General features: G+C 37.0%; 1 protein-coding gene and 1 pseudogene across 52 annotated transcripts in view; both read right to left on the reverse strand.

Moving 5' to 3' along the window:
• The window catches only part of NT5C2 (5'-nucleotidase, cytosolic II), a 105,256-nt gene that overhangs the window by 16,923 nt on the left and 66,810 nt on the right, over positions 1-21,523 (reverse strand). For 21 of the 52 annotated variants that reach the window (XM_047424854.1, XM_047424856.1, XM_047424855.1 and 18 more), the window contains 2 exons: positions 1,650-1,767; positions 767-862 (listed from right to left, as the gene is read on the reverse strand). In XM_047424854.1, the coding sequence (XP_047280810.1) occupies positions 767-862; positions 1,650-1,767 (214 nt within the window). Of the gene's footprint in view, positions 1-418; positions 443-766; positions 863-1,649; positions 1,768-6,805; positions 6,867-21,523 lie in introns of all 52 variants that reach the window. The other 31 variants (XM_047424852.1, XM_047424853.1, XM_011539537.2 and 28 more) reach the window with 4 other exon arrangements.
• RPS15AP29 (ribosomal protein S15a pseudogene 29) lies at positions 20,078-20,477 on the reverse strand (annotated as a pseudogene).

Consider the following 21,523-nt stretch of genomic DNA (forward strand, 5'->3'; position numbering starts at 1 on the left):
AATACAATGTCAATAGTAAATAAGGTGGCATAACAGTAGAGAAAATGTATAACAGTAAAGCTATAGCTACAGAAGTTGTCAAATTGTGGCATTATGATTTGAAAATATCGGGACATTTCACAAAAAAATAGTAGATACTAAATTTCATCTGCTGTTTACTAGGGTAAAAAGTTCAAATTAGTGACAATAGTGGAAATATTTTTATTTTGAAAATAAAGCTTATTCTTATTTGTTTAAAATATTATTAGCACATATTCACTTTAACCTTATGTTTACATTTTTTTAATGACACAATCAAATGTCAGGATTCAAAGTTTAGATTCATTAGAATCTAAAAAACGTATTGGCTATTAAAAATCTCTTAATCATTTAAATTGCTATAGTTTAAAATTTTTTCAAAGCATTTTTATATACATACCTCTTCTGAACAGCTACCTGAGAACTGTATTAGAAAGAAGAAAATAAAAATCTTAGAATTTCAAATAAGTCAAAACTACTAAAGTTCTTCTGGGCAAGTTTTAAGATTAGTTTTGTTGTATGCTGTATAATTGGAAGGCACTTAATTTAAACAAAATGTAATTGCTAACTATATGTCAGTTTGGGTTCCAACTGCCTAATAAATAACTGTTAACTAACCTTATGTAAGGGAATTTGCTCTTTAATGATGAAAAGTAATAGGGAAATATATTACATCTGGGGAGATGATGTCATCTTCACATTGTTTGACTTTAACATTAGAAAGAGGCTAAAGGTTCTCTGTACTCACCCCCTTATAAAGTTAAATCCATGTGCACAGACCAAGAGGTTTCCATAGGCATCGACTTTCAAAAGATTTCCATACAGTGTGTCAAAGACAAGTCCCCTATGTGAAAATGAAGACATTATTGATAATGCAAAGTAATACAGGCAATAATTTTATGTAGTAGTATTTAATCATCATGAACCAACCTCATTTAATTCAAGCTTTGTACCAACTCAAAGTATGTCCTAATATAGCTAAAGTGAGTAAAATCTTAAAAACTAATTCTAAAGCAACTAAAAAATATTGACTCCGTCCAGACAGAAAATCATAATTGTTTTCTGTAAGGAATAAGTGCTTAATCAAACAAGGTATAAAAAACATTCTTCTTACTACACAGCTGGTACCATTCTAAAACATAGTCTTTTTTCTTGGACAACTGAGAAGGCTTATATTTTTCTCCATTAGATGCTGTATGTGGGATATATATGATAGCATCTCAAACATCATTTTCTTAATCTTAAATATTCCCTATCAAATCCAGAAATGGAAACTGCCAAGCTTCTATCATGTTAAGTGTATTAGAGAAACACGTACCTATTTGCCAACAGCCCCAAATAGCACCACCTGTGATTACTGCCCATCAGTTTTAGTAATCTCCTTTTTTACCTGTAAGTGGGTCTTCCTCAGTTGCAATAAACTGAGCTTAATTCAGGAACACCAAGATATGGTGTATATGGAAAGTTCATGGTAATTTTAGAATCAACATCAACCAACCAAAAAAACAACAAAGAATTATTCAATGTTTTGGGGGGTTTTTTTGTTAAGGATAAATCTGGAATGTCTAATTTGAGGGGTAAGGAAAGTAGTCTTAATCTAGTCTTAATCCAAAAATATCTTTAAAAATTACCTGGTAGGGAATGTAGAATCATAAGCAAAGCTGAGCAACTCCTGGGGATAGCCAATAGAAACTAATCTCTCCACAGTAAGCTCAAAACCAAGGGACTCATACTCTGGGGACTTGTACACTGCACAAAGAGGAGGTTTTCATTAGTTAGCAGAAAGAACAGCCAATTAAAACAGAATGCAAATGAATGAATTTCTGCTCTTTCCCAGTTCTTCCCCCCTCCTAATTCTGCCATTTTTCTTCTTCCCCCTCAAACTCCATGTTCTGTATTGCCCCAAGTAATTAGAGAACTCAATTGTTAGTCTGTGGAAATAGGTCATATTATATAGCAGGAGCACAGCAACAAGCTGAATTATCAAATTATTCAGTATAGTTCCTTCATTCTCAGGAAACCTATTCCAAACTTTTTTTTCCTTTATTCTTTCATTCCCACAGTTTAAAAAAATGAATATGCATAGCTGTGATATTAATCGTGAGAATAAAAGTACACAGAAAACTAGGTAAGGGAGGTCTATGTATGCTGAAGGCTTCGGTGTTGTGCATAATTGTTGCAGAAATCCTTCAAAATGAACTTTTAAAATAATTTATTTTTGGAATTCCTGTTTGGCTTGGGTAATTGCTTTATATGCCTTCTCCAATCAACATATTTGTTCCACTTGTTAGATTAACTGTTTTCTTATCAGCTCTAACAATGTATGCCATCAAAATTGTATTTTGCAGGTTATTATTGTAAACCAACCATAAAAAGACATGTTTGTGACAATTAGGGAAATCTAAATATGAAATGGAGTTAGATATTGAAGAATTGGTCAGGCGTGGTGGCTCATGCCTGTAGTTCCAGCACTTTGAGAAGCCGAGGCGGGCAGATCACTTGAGGTGAAGAGTTCGAGACCAGCCTGACCAACATGGTGAAACCCCCGTCTCTATTAAAAATACAAAAAATTAGCCGGGTGTGGTGGCGCATGCCTGTTGTCCCAGCTAGGAGGCTGAGGTGGGAGAATCGCTTGAACCTGAGAGGCAGAGGTTGCAGTGAACTGAGATCATGCCACTGCACTCCAGCCTGGGTGACAGAGCGAGACTCTGTCTAAAAAAAAAAAATATGCAAATGTGTATATAAAACTAAATCTCTCCTTATCTGCCAAAGGAGCATTGAGTTTGTTACAGGTCAAATAACAGGGATTTCAGGCAATGAGGGGTTCTCTCTCTATTGTGTAAGTCTGAAATTTTCCATAATGAAAAAACTTTTCAGAGTTTACTACTGAAATTCAAGCAGAAAGAAAATGTTGCGGCCAGGTGCGGTGGCTCACGCCTGTAATCCCAGCACTTTGGGAGCCCAAGGCGGGCGGATCACTTGAGGTCAGGAGTTCCAGACCAGCCTGGCCAACACAGTGAAACCCCGTCTCTACTAAAAACACAAAAATTAGTTGGACGTTGTGGCGGGCACCTGTAATCCCAGCTACTCGGGAGGGTGAGGCAGGAGAATCGCTTGAACCCAGGAGGTGGAGGCTGCAGTGAGCCGAGACCGTGCCACTACACTCCAGCCTTGGCGACAGAGTGAGACTGTCTCAAAAAGAAAAAAAAGAAAAGAAAAGAAAATGTTGCTCCTTTAAATAGGTTTCTTCCAAATGAAATATTTAGGTAAGCATCTTTCCATCAGTCTCCAGGAGTGAGTAAGCCATATTAAAAATAACAGCTAAAAAGACCTGCTAGCTTGCTAAATGCCAAATGAGGCAAAAATATCCATCCTATTCTTGTAATCTCATAATAATGCAACTATTATTATTATAGTTCTTCCATCTACTATTAACATCTTTAGCTTTTGGCGCAAACTGATTTTTCATTGCAATTAGTCTACCTATCCAAGTTGGTGCTAATACTTTAATGAGTGTGATTCAACTTTCCCTTTCCAAAAACAATCCTTTAGAATATTTCTGGAAATATATAACAGTAATACTAGTTGCCACGTAGGAAAGGAACTGAGTGGCCTTTAAGAGACAGGGAAGGAAACTGTCATGTACTTCTTGTACCTTTAAAACTTACATTAATGTATATCTATTTTTAAAATTAAACTGAAGTTTTTAAAAAGCAAGCTGGGCTTTCAAAATCCTTTAATAAATATTTGTCAGATTTTAAAACCAGAAGCCTTTTAAGGTCTTTTGAGTCTCATCAGAACAATGCCAAAAGAAAAAAACCATCTTTATTTCTTTTGTTGTCACAAGGGTAATAATAATTTAATGCCAATGCTAACCCTGGCTAACTTTTTTTTTTCTTTTTCTTTTTCTTTTTTTCTGAGTCAGAGTCTCGCTCCATTGCCCAGGCTGGAGTGCAGTGGCCGTGATCTTGACTCACTGCAACCTCTGCCTCCCAGATTCAAGCGATTCTCATGACTCAGCCTCCCAAGTAGCTGGGATTACAGGTGCCCGCCACCACACCTGGTATTTTTAGTTGAGACGGGGGTTTCACCATGTTGGCCAGGCTGGTCTCGAACTCCTGACCTCAAGTGATCCGCCTGCCTCGGGCTCCCAAAGTGCTGCTATTACAGGCTGAGCCACCATGCCCAGCCATGGCTAACATTTTCAAAACTGGCTATATTACCTTCTTCCCCTTAAATCCTGCCTCATCCTCTCCCATCCCCCTAAAAAAAACTTGTTGAAGACTTAAGTGTGGAATTCCTAAATCTATATGATGTACACTGTGGATAAAAAAATAAAGTGCTATATACACTAATAGAGTAAGAGCTGGTGTATCATAAAACCATAAGGCATGGCACCTACTGTTGTAAATTTGTTATAAGTATAACCACTCTCACCTTACCCTCCTCAATGCCCCATGCTCCCACCCCAGTTGCAAGTAAATCTCATTTTAGTACAATCTCCATAAAACAAAAATTATTTCTCAATCCTAACCAAGGCCCCATTTATTTCAAACTGTATTTAATGAAATAAAGTTCCAGTATAGCTAAGTAATTTGGGTAATCTACTGACATTTATTCTTACAGGATTTGGTCCATATAAAATGTTTTCAATTGTTAATTTTTTCAGAAGGACAATTTGCTGGATATGCCTTAAGAGTGGGAGACAAAAAACAAACCTTAATTACTCCCACCCACACTCACCCCTAAATCAGCAATTTCTCCAGCTAGAGAAATTAGGTAACTATAGAGCAATGGAGTGACTATCGAGTAAAACCTATGTCTATGAGACAATTTGGATTTGAAGCACAAATTAATGTACTCATAATTTTCAGTGAAAAACAATACAGGAGAGAAAAAGTCTCAAATCCCCATTTTGACAGCACAAATCCTAGAATAGCAGAAAATAAAAACACTATACTTGCCACATTATATTTATTGGCAGGGCAGAATTTCCCAAGTGTTCAACCGAAGTGACTTTCTAGAAATTCCACCTATGGAAATACTTTAAATTTCCTTTTTCTCAATGAACTCAGAGTACTTCCTAAAAATATGATATATCTTCCCCATTTGCTGACGTGAAGTTATATAGCAAGTACAAACATCAGCTGAAGCCAAAATTTAGGTCTCTTTGAGTCTCCAAAAGCTCTTTGTAAGGCCAGGAGTGGTAACTCACACCTGTAATCCCAGCACTTACACCTGTAATCCCAGCACTTTGGGAGGCCGGGGCGTGTGGATCACTTGAGGTCAGGAGTTTGAGACCACCCTGGCCAATATGGCGAAACCCCGTCTCTACTAAAAACACAAAAATTAGCTGGGCGTGGTGGCTCGCACCTGCAGTCCCAGCTACTTAGGAGGCTGAGGCAGGAGAAATGCTTGAACCCAGGAGGCGGAGGTTGCAGTGATCCAAGACTGCACCACTGCACTCCAGTCTGGGCAACAGAGTGAGACTTCATCTCAAAAAGCAAACAAACAAAAGCTCTTTGTGATAGGGTATATATACTACCACTGCAAAAAGTGAATTTCTAGATTACATAAGCCATCAAAACTTAAGCTTGGGTGTTGAAACATACACTTCTCCCTCCAATTTTTTTCAACTAGTCCAAAATAAACTGCTCTACTCACAAGTGGGAATGGATTTAATAAAGAGAGTCCAAGTTCTACCCTGACAACACTATTTCATCAAGCTCTATTAATCAGTAAGACCTACAAGCTTATGAGAAAATGTCAGTTTTCCCAGATAATCACAAATGATTTTCCCAGATAATCATTTCAGCAACACAAACTCCTTGGTCATTAAATTATCTGCTATATAGTACAACCAAGGTTGGAGACGCAGAATTGCAGCCACACAGAGCATGAATTTAGATGTTTTATTCTAAGTGTCCCTCAGTGATAAACATATTTATTGTGACCTGGTGGCAAAAATTCCTGAAGCTAAGTACTGCCATTCCTTTAAAAATAAAAGTAAAATATAAAAAATAAAATTCCTTTTTTAATCAACCAGGCCCTACAAAGCCAGCCTCAGATATTTATAGGAAACCACATATATCTCCTCAGACTTAGAGCTTTATGCCTCTCCACAGCTGCAAAGGCTCTAATTTCAATTTCTCTCCCACAACTGTGGCAAGTAAATGATGCACAGCTTCAAGCTCAACTCTCACAATTGACTTTCTGTGGTTCCAAAACCCAGGCAATAGCTTCAGAGTAAACATAACTTCACACAATATCTGCTTATTTCTTCTCCCAGAAGGTACTCTGGCCTACCCCTAGTTACTCAATATCGGAAGACAAAGGAAGAAGCTATTTTAAGGGCTAGAGTCCCAAAAGGAGGACTGCTTCAGCCACTAGGACAGCACACAGTGTTCTCAGGTTACATAATTAGACTATAAAGAAAACAACCAACGCTTTGAAAGTTGAAGTTACTGAGAGCATTTAAAGATATTCTTTACTCCATAATCTGCAAGGAAAAAACAGTTCTTCAAAAAATAACTATGTTTTCAGGATGAAAGTTGTGGGCTCTGTTTTGAGTAGATGCTGTTCATACAAGATAGAATACATATTAAAGGACAAAGTCCCTTTGGAATGAGCAGAAAACTTTCTGCAGAGAAGTTTGGAATTCTCATGCACTTTTTACCATTGCCACCAAGACACACTATGTAGTAATTTATAGATTTAGAAAAATAAAGGGCAAACCTCTACAGAGGTTCCAGCCTAGCAGAGTGCTGCTGCCAAAATGAGAACTCACATGAGGCAGATGCAGATGCAGTGTGTGTCACTCCAGTCTTGAAGGAGTTACACTGGCTCTCCTGTTAAAAAACAAAAAGCAACAAAACAAAACAAAAACAAAAACAAAAGCTGGTTTTAAAACTGTTGTGATGGGCTGGAACAGAGAGATACCATTTGGAAATTGGTATTTACAGGAGTTACTACTGCCCTCCAATTTAGAAGCCTCTGACCATCACTAAAATTAGCCTAATTGGCCATAACAAAACAAGGGTATTGAAGATAAGCCTAAGTATTATTGTGTATTATTTACTTTTCTGGCACCCTGAGTCTGGAATACAAGCCAAGTCTGATCCTAAAATGTTAAGTCGAAAGACAAACAGAAAAATAAGTCTATTGGTCTTAGTTTATTTTCTCTAGCACATTTCAGGCTAACACGATAGAAACTGAATACAGCTGGCAAATGGTGTTTAAAATTAAACTATGGGTAGTGAAACAGACTGAATAAAGGATACAAATACCAGAGTGGCCTCATCTTGCTTCCAAGTACCCATTTTAGCTGAGTCTACCTATACCTAACTACTAGGTTAGTCATTATCAAGATTCTAGTCATCATTATCAAGATGACTAGAATCAACTGCACACTGCTAAAAATCTAACCAGATATCTAAATTTGGAATGGAAGGAAATTTTTAAATTTTGATTGTCAGTGGAAATCTGCCCTTAGTAAGCCAATTTATACTCTATAAAGTTAAAAGAAACTACCTAGTCTAGTAAAATAACTGAGTTGAAGATACATAATCCATTAAATATACTGACACTTTAAAGATATGCATTATGTTTAACTTTATAGGGAGTCATTTTCCCTAGAGACATTTAGGTTTTTGAAAACATGTCACTGGGCTCCTCCAATTCTTGGATTTTTGGGGTACTCAACCGAAGAGCAGAAATGACCAGATGCAATGTCTAAAAGTCCTAAAAGCATTACAACACTACCAACAGTCACAATGAAAACCAAAAATGCAACCCAACCACCCAAGAATAGTCATTTGCTTTTATGTTATAAGAATGATCAACATCAACATGCTCATCTATTTAGCTGTAGGCTACATGATGTTGGTTCTCTAAGCCTCTAACTAGAAAAGGTGATAACGCACATTTTTCTCTGAGAAAATTTTAAGTGAGATCTTTCCAATTATCATATAAACAAATGCCCAAGGACTTTTTTCCATTTTCCAAAACTATATGAAAATCCTCCTAACACATTAAATAGACACAGGCAAAAATCCTATCTCTAACCTAAGAGATCACAAATGACCTAAAAAAGATATTTTCATATCTTTCTAAATTTTCAAAGCAAATTTCCTAAAATGGCCTCAATTTTAATTTACTTAAAACAGCTAGATATCATAGCAATACTTTTAGTAATACAAAGTAAAACACATTCCCAAATAACTAGATGTGTAAATAAGTAAAGTGGAGTTTGAGCAACTGCCAATTTCAGTTTATTGCAAGCAAATGCAAAATTAAATGGTAATTAAGAGTTATTTGTTTAAAAAATACTAAGAATATTAGAAGAATATTTTTAAATAAAATGAAAAAAATACCTACTTCAAAAATATTCCATCTGAGAATCTGAACACTTACAAATATCTTGTATTTTCAGTACTGTTTTCAATTTAAGACAGAAAAATTGAAAATTATTGAAATAACTTTTAAAAATCGTCTTTAACCAAAGGAGCTGCTTGTAATACAAAAACAGAAATAGCTAATATTTTTTTTTTCAAAAATAAAAACAGATCACAGCACTCAAATGCCTATACTAAAGTTAGAAGAATTTAACAAACATTTGGATACCTACAGTGTACCAGGTACTAGAAGCTGAGAAGAAGAAACAAAATAATGTATGATCCTGGGCCGTGAAAGAGCTTATAGCTCATGGCATATTAGAGGGGATATACATTTAGATATTTATAATAAGTTTTAGGAGATCAATAACTAAGACTAATCAAATGACTAAGAAAGTATAGAGAGACAAAAAGAGGACCAATCAATCCAGCCCAGGAAGTCTTCTTAAAACCTATGCATGATTTATGTCTGACTTATTCAGGCTTATACAGATAACTCATTTTTATAACCAATTTCTCAAGGTACTATAAAGTTTACCTGACAACTCTCTGAAATTCAGATTCAACTAATACATTACAAACATCTATGTCAAGACTAGGCAAGTGAATTAATGTGTGAAGTGGGATACATGAGGGTGCACATCTTGTCTAGAGGAGGAAGTGGCTACTCAAGTGTAGCTGACTTCCCTGAGGGAATGGGAGCCAAATGTTCCCAATTGCGTGATAACAGCCAACCTAGACTTTTACCTGTAGTCTCTCAACTGTATAACACTGACCCAATTAGGCCGGCTTGGTGGCTCACGCCTGTAATCCCAGCACTTTGGGAGGCCAAGGTGGGCGGATCACGAGGTAAGGAGTTCGAGACCAGCCTGGCCAATATGGTGAAACCCTGTCTCTACTAAAAAATACAACAACAAAAAAAATTAGCCGAGTGTGGTGGCGCACACCTGTCGTGGTGGCACGTGCCTGTATCACTGGTACCAGGGAGGCGGAGGTTGCAGTGAGCTGAGATCACGCCACTGCACTCCAGCCTGGGTGACAGAGCGAGACTCTGTCTCAAAAATAAATAAATAAATAAAAAATAAAAATAAAAATACTGACCCAATTAAATAAACAAAAACTCTTTCAGCCAAACTATGGTCTGTGGTCTAAGTTGGGTCCATGGGCCAACAGTGTGCACCTCTAGCCTATACTTTAGGTCATATACTTCCACATACATTATCTATCCCATTTAATTGAAGTGTTTGACTACCTTCTTCAAAGAGTCTTAAGGAAATAAATAGAATTTAGGTACTTAATGAATTGGAAATCTAGATGGAAATACATTCATTCTTTAATAACATAAAGTATTCTGGGTAATACTGTCAGTCTATTCATCCCAAGAAAAAACGGAGGAAGTGGATTAAAAACAGAAAATAAAAGAACCTCTATGTGGTAACTTGATGTGGACCCCTATAATCGTCTGAATCTGATTTCTTCACTAGATTATCAAAACCGAACAAATGTTCCCAGTGACAGAATCACAACATCCTCATGATCTGCTTAGGTAACCAACTACAGTATTAGTGTCTTATTCATAAGGTTTAACCTAAATCTTTGCTATACAACTTAATTCCATTATCATTTGTCCTTTCCTCATTGGCCATTATCTGCATGATAAAACAAACATCCAGAGAATGTGTAAGCAGAAAGGAGATAATGAATCAAAGGTAGCTATTATGTTAGAAGTATGCTGAAAACAAGTTTAGTCATGTTGAAAATAGCCTTTGGCTGGGCGCGGTGGCTCACGCCTATAACCCCAGCACTTTGGGAGGCCGAGGCAGGTGGACTACCTGAGCTCAGGAGTTCCAGACCTGCCTGGGCAACACAGTGAAACCCCGTCTCTACTAAAATACAAAAAAATTAGCCGGGCATGGCAGTGTGCATCTGTAGTCCCAGCTACTCAGGAGGCTGAGGCAGGAGAATTGCTTGAACCCGGGAGGCGGAGGTTGCAGTGAGTCGAGATTGTGCCAATGCATTCTTGCCTGGGTGACAGAGCAAGACTCCGTCTCCAGAATAAAAAAAAAAGAAAATAGCCTGGATGCTGGGAGCGAAAAATTCATCTTAATAACTTCACTGATGCCACTAATATTATTACATGACATTTATTCACACAAAAAATCTGGCCTACATTTGAATGCTTTTATAATTGGCAATAAAAAGTAAAGATCATAAACACTAGTAATTGATTCTTTCTATCACTTACCATGTAATGGAGATGAAATGGGTTTTATTAAGCAATCTTTTAAATTTCCTAATCTAGAAACAAACCAAGTATTACTGCAATTCAGAGAGATTAATTTAATATTAGTGAAAACTTTAACTGGGATACAGACTTGACATAAAGGGAATCAAAGCTTGGAAACTAAGTATAGACTCATATATTAAAAAGTTGTCTAAGAAGTAAATAATATACACCTAAAATATGCCATATATTTCATATGTAATATATATATCTAAAAATAATAGTATTGAGGGTGTTTATCTCAATGAATACAAAGGCCTTTCATCTACAAGTAAGATAATGCACTGAAGTATTATTTCTTTTAAATTATTTCCTAACATGGAGGGACCACCTCAAAAACACTGCCTGACTGTAGACAGTACTTTATTTCCTGAGGAAGGTAGTGTAAGAAATTCTGAAGTTTAAGAAAAATAATAGCAGCTAAAATAACAAGGACTATAATATCTCAAATGGAAATGAAAAGACTAAAGGACCTTAACATTTAAATGCCTTTTTAAAAAAACCATTTTATTGGTATTTTTTTAGTTTCTGCCACATGATTTTTAAATTTAATATTATTAAGGATATTTTTACTCATACATACAAAAGTAGAGGAAATATGTAATGAGCTGCTTTAAACACATCACACAGCTTTAACAACTTTTGCTATTTTGGATTTTTGTTTCATCCATCTTCCCTAACTTATTCTCACCCAACTTAATAAATTTTATCAAATCAGAAAGTTTTAACATTGTTCTTTCATAAAATATTTTAAATAGCAGAAGTGTACACAAGTATTATGTATCACACATACAGAATTATTTTATTAACTAGTTGAGTTGTTCCTTTAATTACTGCTTAAATTTCCTCCCCACTTAGAGGTCCATGCAATACTCGAAGTCTTTTATCAGCAATTAGTTAGAAGAGGCTTCCAAATTAAGGGCTGCTTCAGATTTTTTTCTTTTTTTTTTTTCTTTTTTTTTTTTTGCTCTGCCATCCTGGCTGGAATGCCCTAGCATGATCATAGCTCACTGTATCCTCAAACTACTAGGCTCAAGCAATCCTCCTCCTCAGCCTCAGCCTCCCCAGTAGCTGGGGCTTACCAACATCCACCACCACACCTGGCTAATTTTTTTTTTTTTTTAAAGATGGGGTCTCACCATATTGCCCAGGCTGGTCTAGAACTCCTGGCCTTAAGTGATCCTCTCGCCTTGGCTGCCCAAAGCACTGCAATTACAGTCATGAAACACGATGCCCAGCCCAGAAATATTGTAACTATACTATGTTGTCAATATTATAGCCTTAATGAGAAAACCTGTTCTACCAACAGCATTGTTCTTTTGGTAAGATAGTACTGGTATTATTATTAGGTATTAATATTCTTGGAAAATCAGAGCAAGAGATAGGTAATATATTGGGCCAAAGAAAATAAAACAGTGTAACCACTGAGAAAAATTTTTAAATAAGGGACGACACCAAAGTAGCTTAGTTTAAATAAAGCTTAGTTCAGTTAAAGAAACAAACTACAAATGACGAGTATTTTTACCTAACGATCAATGGATTTGCTCCAAAATAAGCTGTCTCTCTCTAAAAGACAATTATCTCAAAATAACAGAAACAAAAATGGAATTCTGAAATGAAAATAATCAAACTGTATTATGAGATATGAGTAATAATATCTGTTAAAAACAAACATAATAGAACTTACACATCGAAATGAGCCTTCACCCATTCAAAACAATCACTACCAGGCTGGGCGTGATGGCTCACACTTAACAGTCTCAGCACTTTTGGGGGCTGGGGTAGGAGGACTGCTTGAGCCCAGCAGTTCAAGATCCAACTGGGCAACACAGCAAGGCCCCCTCTCTACAGAAAATTTAAAAATTAGCCAGCCATGGTGGCATACACCTATAGTCCTTGCTATTCAGGAGTTTGAGGTAAGAGGATCACTTGAGCCCAGTAGTTCAAGGTTATAGTAAACTACAATTGCACCACTGTGCTGCAGCCTGGGTGACAGAGCAAGAACCTGTCTCAAAACAACAACAACAACAAACAATATGCAGAAGCAATTGTATTTATCCAGAAGCAATATGTATTTATTCTAGTATTGCAACCACTACTCAAAACATTGAAAATTCTTATTTTAAAATTACTTTTAGCGTCTACAGCACATTATTCTAGATATCCTCCCTGGTGGCACATGTTTGTTCCTCAACAGGTGATGAATTTAATTGAGGTGAGGGTTATTCGGAGCAACTAATGAATAAATGGGGAAAACGAGCTGGGTTTAAAAAAAAAAAGTATGACTATGTAGAACAATAAAGCAGGTTTTGAGTTTATAAGCTGGCTCTGAAAACAATTCCAAAAGAATTCCTAAAATGTCTAAGAAAGCAATATTGGAGTAAGTTTTCCTTAATAAGGTGACTATATGAAGGATAATATCTATTTGGAAGCATATTTTCTTATGTGCTTTATTTTAAAAAATTAGTCTTTTGACCCATTTTATATGTGCTTAATTTTGCAAGTCACCTCAAATCCCTTTTGGAAAAAAAGTAAAGTATAAATCCTATATAACAGTAGTCTTTATAGTCTATTCATCATTTATTGCTTCATAGTTAAAACTATAAATAATGAACCTAACAGCTATGTAAATCTATTCACCATAGGCCTTGTCAAGTTCAGTTTAGTCTAATCAGAACATTGATACAATTCAATGAATCTAGCATGAAATTATCATATTTCTTTTCCTTTTTTTTTTTTTTTGGATAGGTCTCATTCTGTAGCCCAGGCTGAAGTGCAGTGGCACAATCTCAGCTCACTGCAACCTCCGCCTCCCAGGATCAAGCAATTCTCCCACCTCAGCCTCCAGAGTAGCTGGGATTACAGACGTGCACCACGCTCAACTAATTTTTGCATTTTTTGTAGAGATGCGGTTTTGTTATGTTGCTCAGGCTGGTCCTGGACTCCTAGGTGCAAGCAATCCATCTGCCTCGGCCTCCCAAAGTGCTGGCATTAATTACAGGAATAAGCCACCATGCCTGGACAAAATCATCACATTTCATCTTCACAAATCTCCTTTAGGGGTTGAGTCCTTATGATATATTCTGATTAGATTTTTACTTTGTTTAGTTTTATGAATGTTTTCTAATTTATTTTTATTAATTTTATTAACCACAATTATCTTTTTTGTTTGTTTGTTTTTTAAGGGATCATCTCTTTTTGGAGAGGGAATTTTTTTTTTCTTTTTATCTGTTACCCTAGTTTAAATACTCAGCTTATTCTCTTATTCTACCCTATTTGTGGGGGAGGGCAAGAGTCCAAAAACTCTTAAGAAAAAAGATCACTAAGGGAGATCATGAATGCATTTTTAAGATGTAGTAAGTCAAACTACATCTATTTTTCTGTTCTTTAATTTTCAGTTGTATGCTTTTGATCCATTCACAAACTGATAAATCTCTCAAGAATAAGTCAGAGGGCCGGGCACAGTGGCTCACACCTGTAATCCCAGTACTTTGGGAAGCCAAGATGGGTGGATCACCTGAGATGGGGAGTTCAAGACCAGCCTGACCAACATGGAGAAACCCCATCTCTACTAAAAATACAAAATTAGCCAGGCATGGTGGCACATGCCTGAAATCCCAGCTACTCAGGAGGCTGAGGCAGGAGAATCATTTGAATCCAGGAGGCAGAGGTTGCGGTGAGCTGAGATCGCGCCATTGTACTCCAGCCTGGGCAACAAGAGCAAAATTTTGTCTCCAAAAAAAAGTCAGAGGGTATATACAGGTTGGTAGCTTTCACTGACTTAGAAGTGCTCATTCCCTCACACAAATATCTCTTGCACATATAATCTGGAAGCCAGTGGGATGAGGTAATGCACAAGTTCTATATTTTCCAAGTTGTGAGGAGGATGCCCTGAGTATTATTTCATGACCTAGGACAATGAGAATTTCTTTGGTCTTTTTGATAAAGGTTACCTTTCTTGTTTTGTACCAAAGACTTTTCAACAAATACATTCCTTTCAGAGACCTCTCGTCACAGTAAGAACTCCAAATAGATGCAACCAGTTTACACGCTATCAATAGTAAGTTCAGCTCAGCTAATCTTCCATCTTAATTCATCAAAGAGTTTCATCGTTCTTTAAGAAGAAATGCTAAAGCACAGACTTTTACATTGTCATTGGTTTCATTAAACAAAAAAAAAGGCGTGGCCAGTTGCAGTCTCATGCCTGTAATCCCAGCACTCTGGAAGGCTGAGGCTGGTGGACTGCTTGAGTCCAGGAATTAGAGACCAGCCTGGGCAACATGGTGAAACCCCATTTCTACAAAAAATAAAAAAATTAGCCAGGCATGATGGCACGAGCCTATAGTCCCAGCTACTTGGGAGGCTGAAATGGGAGAATCACTTGAGCCTGGGAGGCAGAGGTTGCAGTGAGCTGAGATCACACCACTGCACTCCAGCCTGGATGACAGTGTGAGACCCTGTTTCAAAAAAAAAAAAGGAAGAAAAGAAAAGAAGTAAACTCAAAATGGATCAAAGACCTAAATGTAGGAGTTAAAACTATAAAACTCTTAGAAGAAAACATGGCAGAAAATCTTCCTTATATTGGATTTGGGAATGATTTCACAGCTATGACAGCAAAAAGCACTGGCAACAAAAGAAAAAAACAGATAAACTGGACTTCAAAATTAAAAACTTTTGTGCCTCAAAAGCCATGATCAAGAGAGGGAAAAGAAAACCCACAGAATGAGAGACAATATTTGCAAATTGTGTATCTGATGAGGGATTAATATCCAGAATATATAAAGATTAATATGCAGAATGTGTAACTCCACAGTTATTTTAAAAACCTAATTTTAAAAAACTGATATTTCTCCAAAGAAGTTATATAACTGACTAAATAAACACATGAAATGATGCTTAATATCACCAGCCATTAGAGAAACATGAAATCAAAACCATAAGATACCGTAACTTCACACCCAGTAGAATGAGTATTATCAAACAACAACAAAAAACCTGAAAATAAGTATTGCCAAGATGTGAAGAAACTGGAACTCTCATTCATGTATTGCTGGTGGGGATGTAAGATGTTACAGCCACTATAGAGAACAGTTTGGCAGTTCTTTAAAAAGCTAAACATAGATTTACGTTATGATCCAGCAATTCCATTCCTGGGTATATACCCAAAACAACTGAAAGCAGGAAGCAGGAACTCAAACAGATGCTTAAATACCAATGTTCACAGCAGCCTATTCATAATAGCCAAAAGGTGGAGACAATCCCCATGTCCATCAACAGATGAACAGATAAACAAATGTATATACCTACAGTAGAATATTATTCAGTCTCAAAAAGTAATATATGCTATAACATGGACAAATTTAAAAAATATGCTAAAAGAAATAAGCCAGACACAAAACAAGTATTGTATAATTTCACTTTTATGAAATACCTATAACAGACAAATTCATAGAGACAAAATAAATTAGAGGTTACTAGCAACTGAGGGGTGGAGGGAATGGGGAGTTATTGCTTAATGGGTATGGAGTTTCTGTTTGGGATGATGAAAAAGTTCTGGAAATGGATAGTGGTGAGCATTGTGCAACTTTGTGAATGTGCTTAATGCCATTGAATTGTATACTTGAAAATGGTTTAAAATGGTAATATTATATTCTATATATTTTACCATAAATTTTTTTAATGCTGGACTTGAGATGCCTGTAGTGACAATACACCAATACTGCATAATATTTCTTGCTTTAAATAGTTTTTCTCACTCATTTAAGCACCTCCAATGCCAGTAAGTTTGGTGAGGATATACAATTGCTGACAGAAACATGATGAGGGCCCTGGACTCTAGTCCAAGTAAACACACCATCCAAAAAATGTTCACTTAAATGTCAAGTGAGTTGAGTCCATTCCAATAACAATAAAACAAGATCAGAGTGCATCTACTATGTTCGAGAGGACAGGGATCAAAGGTCCTGAGATGCCTCTGCTAGTAGCAAGATAATGCTCTGATTTACTGACATCACAGGCTAGTTTCTCTTAATTTCTTCCCCGGTACTCTTAACAGCTTTATTCATCACCTCTCCCACACTTGAGGTTTGTTAATGCCAAGTGCTTAGGTTTGGGATAACTCCCCAGAGGCTAATGATATGGCCTAGAAAGGAGGGGAGGGCAGAAAAATTCAAAAGAGAGGGACCTAAAATGTATTTCCAATCCCCCTAAGATTTTTTAATTGAGAAAAAAATGCACTATTTAATTTTAGAATTCTCGGCCAGGCACGATGGCTCAAGCCTGTAATCCCAGCATTTTAGGAGGCTGAGGAGGGCAGATCACCTGAGGTCAGTAGTTCAAGACCAGCCTGGACCAGCCTAGCCAACCCTGTCTCTACTAAAAATACAAAAATTAGCCAGGCGTGGTGGCAGACGCCTGTAATCCCAGCTACTTGGGAGACTGAGGCGCCAGAATCGCTTGAATCCGGGAGGAGGGGGTTGTAGTGAGCCGAGATCACCCCACTGCACTCCCACCTAGGTGACAGGGCAAGACTCTGTCTCAAAATAATAATAATTCTAACAACATTTCTAATACAGTACTTATATAGTAATCCTGAGGCTTAACGAAGCTTTAAGATTATTTCTAAAAATTAAGCAAAAGAAAAACTGTGTTTTAACACAGTTTCTATCTGTATTCTAAAGATGGAAGATTACAATTCAACTGCAAAAGAAACATGCAGTTTTGCCCCAGGCAGGGTTTTCATTTGGGGGGAAAAAATTAAGGATGATCTTCTTTGTTTATGGGTTTTTGTCTCTTATTGATATCTCATCTAGAGTTACTGGATAATTTCTGTTCTGAAAGCTGGGAGCAGCATGAGAAATAGAAACTGACCTGAGTTTAAATTCCAGCTATGAGTTTTAACAAATCTGTTGCTAGTTACTGATAGGATTTAGGACATCTGAACCCAAAATATGATACCTGGGCATTTGAGAAAACAGCAGAAGCAGGAAGGTCACTCTCACCTCCCGACTTCTTCCCTGAAGGAAGTCATAAAATCTAGGAAGAATTTTTCTCACCTTCCCCTAAAGCAGGTCATACTACTCTCATTTGAGAGGTGTCATCCTTATACCACGAGGAAAGGAACATCCTTACCTCTGAAGACCCAGGGACGCAGCAAAGAATCTGAATGAACAGAGCTTACTAAGTTCCTCCCAGTTTATCACCATTAGATCATACCCCCTTTTGTCCAACCATACTTCTCTACAACTATCCACTTCTTTATCAATCCTGTCATAGAAAACACACAGGTTTACTCATTTCTCCAGGTCTTCATTTCCTTATGAAGGCTCCTGTGTCCCATAAAACTTACATTAAATAAATCTGTATGCTTTTCTCTCACTAATCTGTCTTTTCTTATAGGGGCCGCAACCATGAACCTAAGATGGGAAGGAAAGATATTTCTTTCCCCTACACTACATATAAGTCATCTTATCTGTTGACTTAGTAGCCTTTTTTATTTTTTGACTTTTTGTTTGAGACAGGGTCTTGTTCTATAGCCCAGGATAGAGGCACAATCACAACTCACCAAAACCTCAAACTCCTTGGCTAACACCATCCTCCTCCCTCTGCTTCCCAAGTAGCTGGGACTACAGGCATGCACTACCACACACTGCTAATATTTTTTTTTTCCTAAGTTCCAGGGTATACGTGCAGGATGTGCAGGTTTGTTACACAGGTAAACATGTGCTATGGTGGTTTGCTGTACCACACCCTGGTAATCTTTATTTTTTGTAGAGATGAGGTCTCACTATGTTGCACAGAGGGATCTCGAACTCCTGGGCTCAAGGGCTCACAGCCTCCCAAAGCACTGGGATTACCCCTGTGAGCAATCATGCCTGGCCTTATTTTTGTACAATGTTGCTAGTAATCCCTACCTCAGCAGGCTGTGGTAAGGATTAAAAGGTACATTGTACATAAAGTACATTTTCTAGTACGTTTAATAAATGTTCATTTCTATCTTCCTGAAAATTTCTCAGAGAAATGCGAAGGAGTGGACACTAGCCATGGTATCCACTGATTCTGAAATAACAGAAATAAGGAGCTTATTGCTGGATTTACTGAAACGGCTCAGAATCTAAAGTGCTGGAGCTGGAAAAAAACTGGAATGTACCTCCTTCCGGATTTCCAAGCACCAGGAGTCACAAGAGAGCCAAAAAACTCAAGCCTTCGAAATTGGGGGGGGAAAAAAAAAGTCATTATGATTTCCCAAATGAGCCAGTAAGCCAAGTTAGAAATACTATAGTTTCATAATCCTAAACCAAGAGTCACTCTATATTTGTGAAGGGCTTAAATAAATATTAACAACTCATCCCCCCACTTTCTACCATTATGTTGCTCTAGTCTTCCTTGGGGTTAAGACTTCTGGAAATTTAATAATTCTACATGTATAATTTTTGTGTTAACTTCATGAAATTTACCACATTTACTCTTTCGTGCAACTGCAAACATTAACTATTTCTTCCTTTCTTATTGTTTCAAAAAGGCAAGTAACTCTCCTTGCATCTATTAGAAGCATAATGACACCTCTGTCATAAAGAATTTTTTTTTTTTTAATTTAAAGAAGGACCTGTTGTCCAAAATCTATTTCCTTCAGCACACTGGTAAACATGCTCATGGAAACATGCTCTGTTGCCAAAATACCCTGTCATTCAGCTGCTCAAAAAAGAGCTTTAACTTTCTATTAAGTTCATGATCATTTGCAATACTTAAACACACAGAAAAGAGCATTAAATATTCCACTGCCATCTACCAAGCAAGCCAGGTTTTTCCATAATATATAGAAGTGTAAATAAGGTCAATATTGGTATTTTTCTCCTTATTCCTCAGATTTTTTCCCTTTCAGCTCAAGTTTCAGTATATTAATACCTTGGTATCACCAGTCAGACAAAGAGTGCACTAGTCACTGCACTAGTCATTTCATGTACACTACTGCAATTAAACCTTACACCAAAAGTTTATCCCTGCCACACCGCCCCTCCCCCCACCTTTTAAAAAAATTAAATGAAGAAACTGAGACATAGGTTAAGTAACAATGCTGGTGGTCAAGAGCTAGTACAAGGCAGAGCTGGGATCCAACCCAGGTCTACCACACCATGAGGTTTTTTTCCACCAACCACATAACCTCTAGAGTAAGGATAAAAGTAAGACTAGGTCTAAAGTTGGAATGTATGGGACTTATATTTAATATTAATATATAATTTAATAATTAAATTTAATGTAATTATATTTAATATAATTAATATATTTAATATAATTTAACAGAAAAAGGATTATTCTCCCTTTTTTTAAAAAATAACTTTTTGTTTTCCATGAGGCATTTTATTTGTAAATATGTATTACATCTCTAGAAAAAGAATCCTACGATTTTCCCTCCTGTGCATTTTCGTCTTGCTTCTTCACGGTCTATGATGTCAGCTGAGATAGTTAGTACAATGAAACCAAACTGGCAGGATGGAAGCAGATTACTCTACCATTTTTCTAGATCTTTGAGTTGCACATCAAATCTGGGACTCATCCCTCCACACCTGTTTAGCCTGCCTGTGAGGTTCACTACAATTTTCCCAGCTCTGTGATCATCAATGATTTCAAATTCGCCAATGGAACCATGCTTCATTGTCACAGTTAAAAAAAAAAAAAAAGACAATGACTTTGGAGCACAGCCTAGTAAGAACCTGGCGTTTGCCTGTCTTTTCGACATTGCTGATGCTCTTGAGGGCATCAGCCAAGTCGTTCATGTGCACCATTGTGGTGGCGTGGAAAGATGATGGAAAGAAAAAAAAATCACTTCTTACACTCAGATTACTCTCACTTAACAGCTGCTGGCTAGCATTCTGCTTCTTGAAGAAACCACATTTTGCAGATTAGCAGTCTGTCAGATGCTGATCTGTAACCACGAGGAGATAATGTTAAGGACTTTATGTCACTCATTTACTCGGAAAAGAATTTCTCATTTGAAGCCTCAGAACTAGATTTCTGGATTTAGTATTATAAAACTAAGTAACAATACTAATGGAAATCACTAGTCTGTTTATGCCTATTTGCCATTTGAAAAAAAACAAGCACTGAACAGCCTGAAATTTACCAATTCTGTTTTCTATTTTCACTCCATTGTCCACTGTTGGTAACAACAAATTCAGCAATATAACACTTTTAGCAGTTGTCTATGCAAATAAAACCAAAGAAACCAAATTCAGAAATAGTATAGATTAGTCCCTTCATTTTGTGGAGAGTGCATAGTTTGATTAAAAACAACTTTCTTGCTCTGTCCCAGGTCCAAAGACCTAATCTTAGATTGGCTTTCAAGATCTTTTTAAGCTTGTTTTGTCCTGGGGTTAGCCTGACTCATCTGTGTAGGTCACTTAACCATAAAAAGGCTAAAAAAGACTGTGTGCTCAGATAAGGACCACAAATGAAAAACCTGGGGTATAGAAAGTATATACATGAGGGCAACTTAATAAATTAGGAAACTAGAGCACCCGACAGGTCTAATTAAGGGAGAAAGAGGCCTCGAAAAAAGGGAAAAGAAAAACACATACCCGCAGAGGAAGTCAAAATGCAAAGGGCCAAATCCTGATACATATCATGTGCAAAGAACGTCGCTAAAGTAATTTGGGGTGAAAGAGGAATTGTAAATAGGCTTGGCAGGTATTTTTTATATAAAACATAGTTGGCCGGATGCAGTGGCTCACATCTGTAATCCCAGCACTTTGGGAGGCCAAGGTGGGCAGATCACAAGGTCAGGAGTTCGAGACCAGCCTCGTCAATATGGTGAAACCCTATCTCTACAAAA

This window comes from Homo sapiens, chromosome 10 (genome assembly GCF_000001405.40).
Source record: "Homo sapiens chromosome 10, GRCh38.p14 Primary Assembly".
In the NCBI taxonomy this organism is placed as follows: domain Eukaryota; kingdom Metazoa; phylum Chordata; class Mammalia; order Primates; family Hominidae; genus Homo; species Homo sapiens.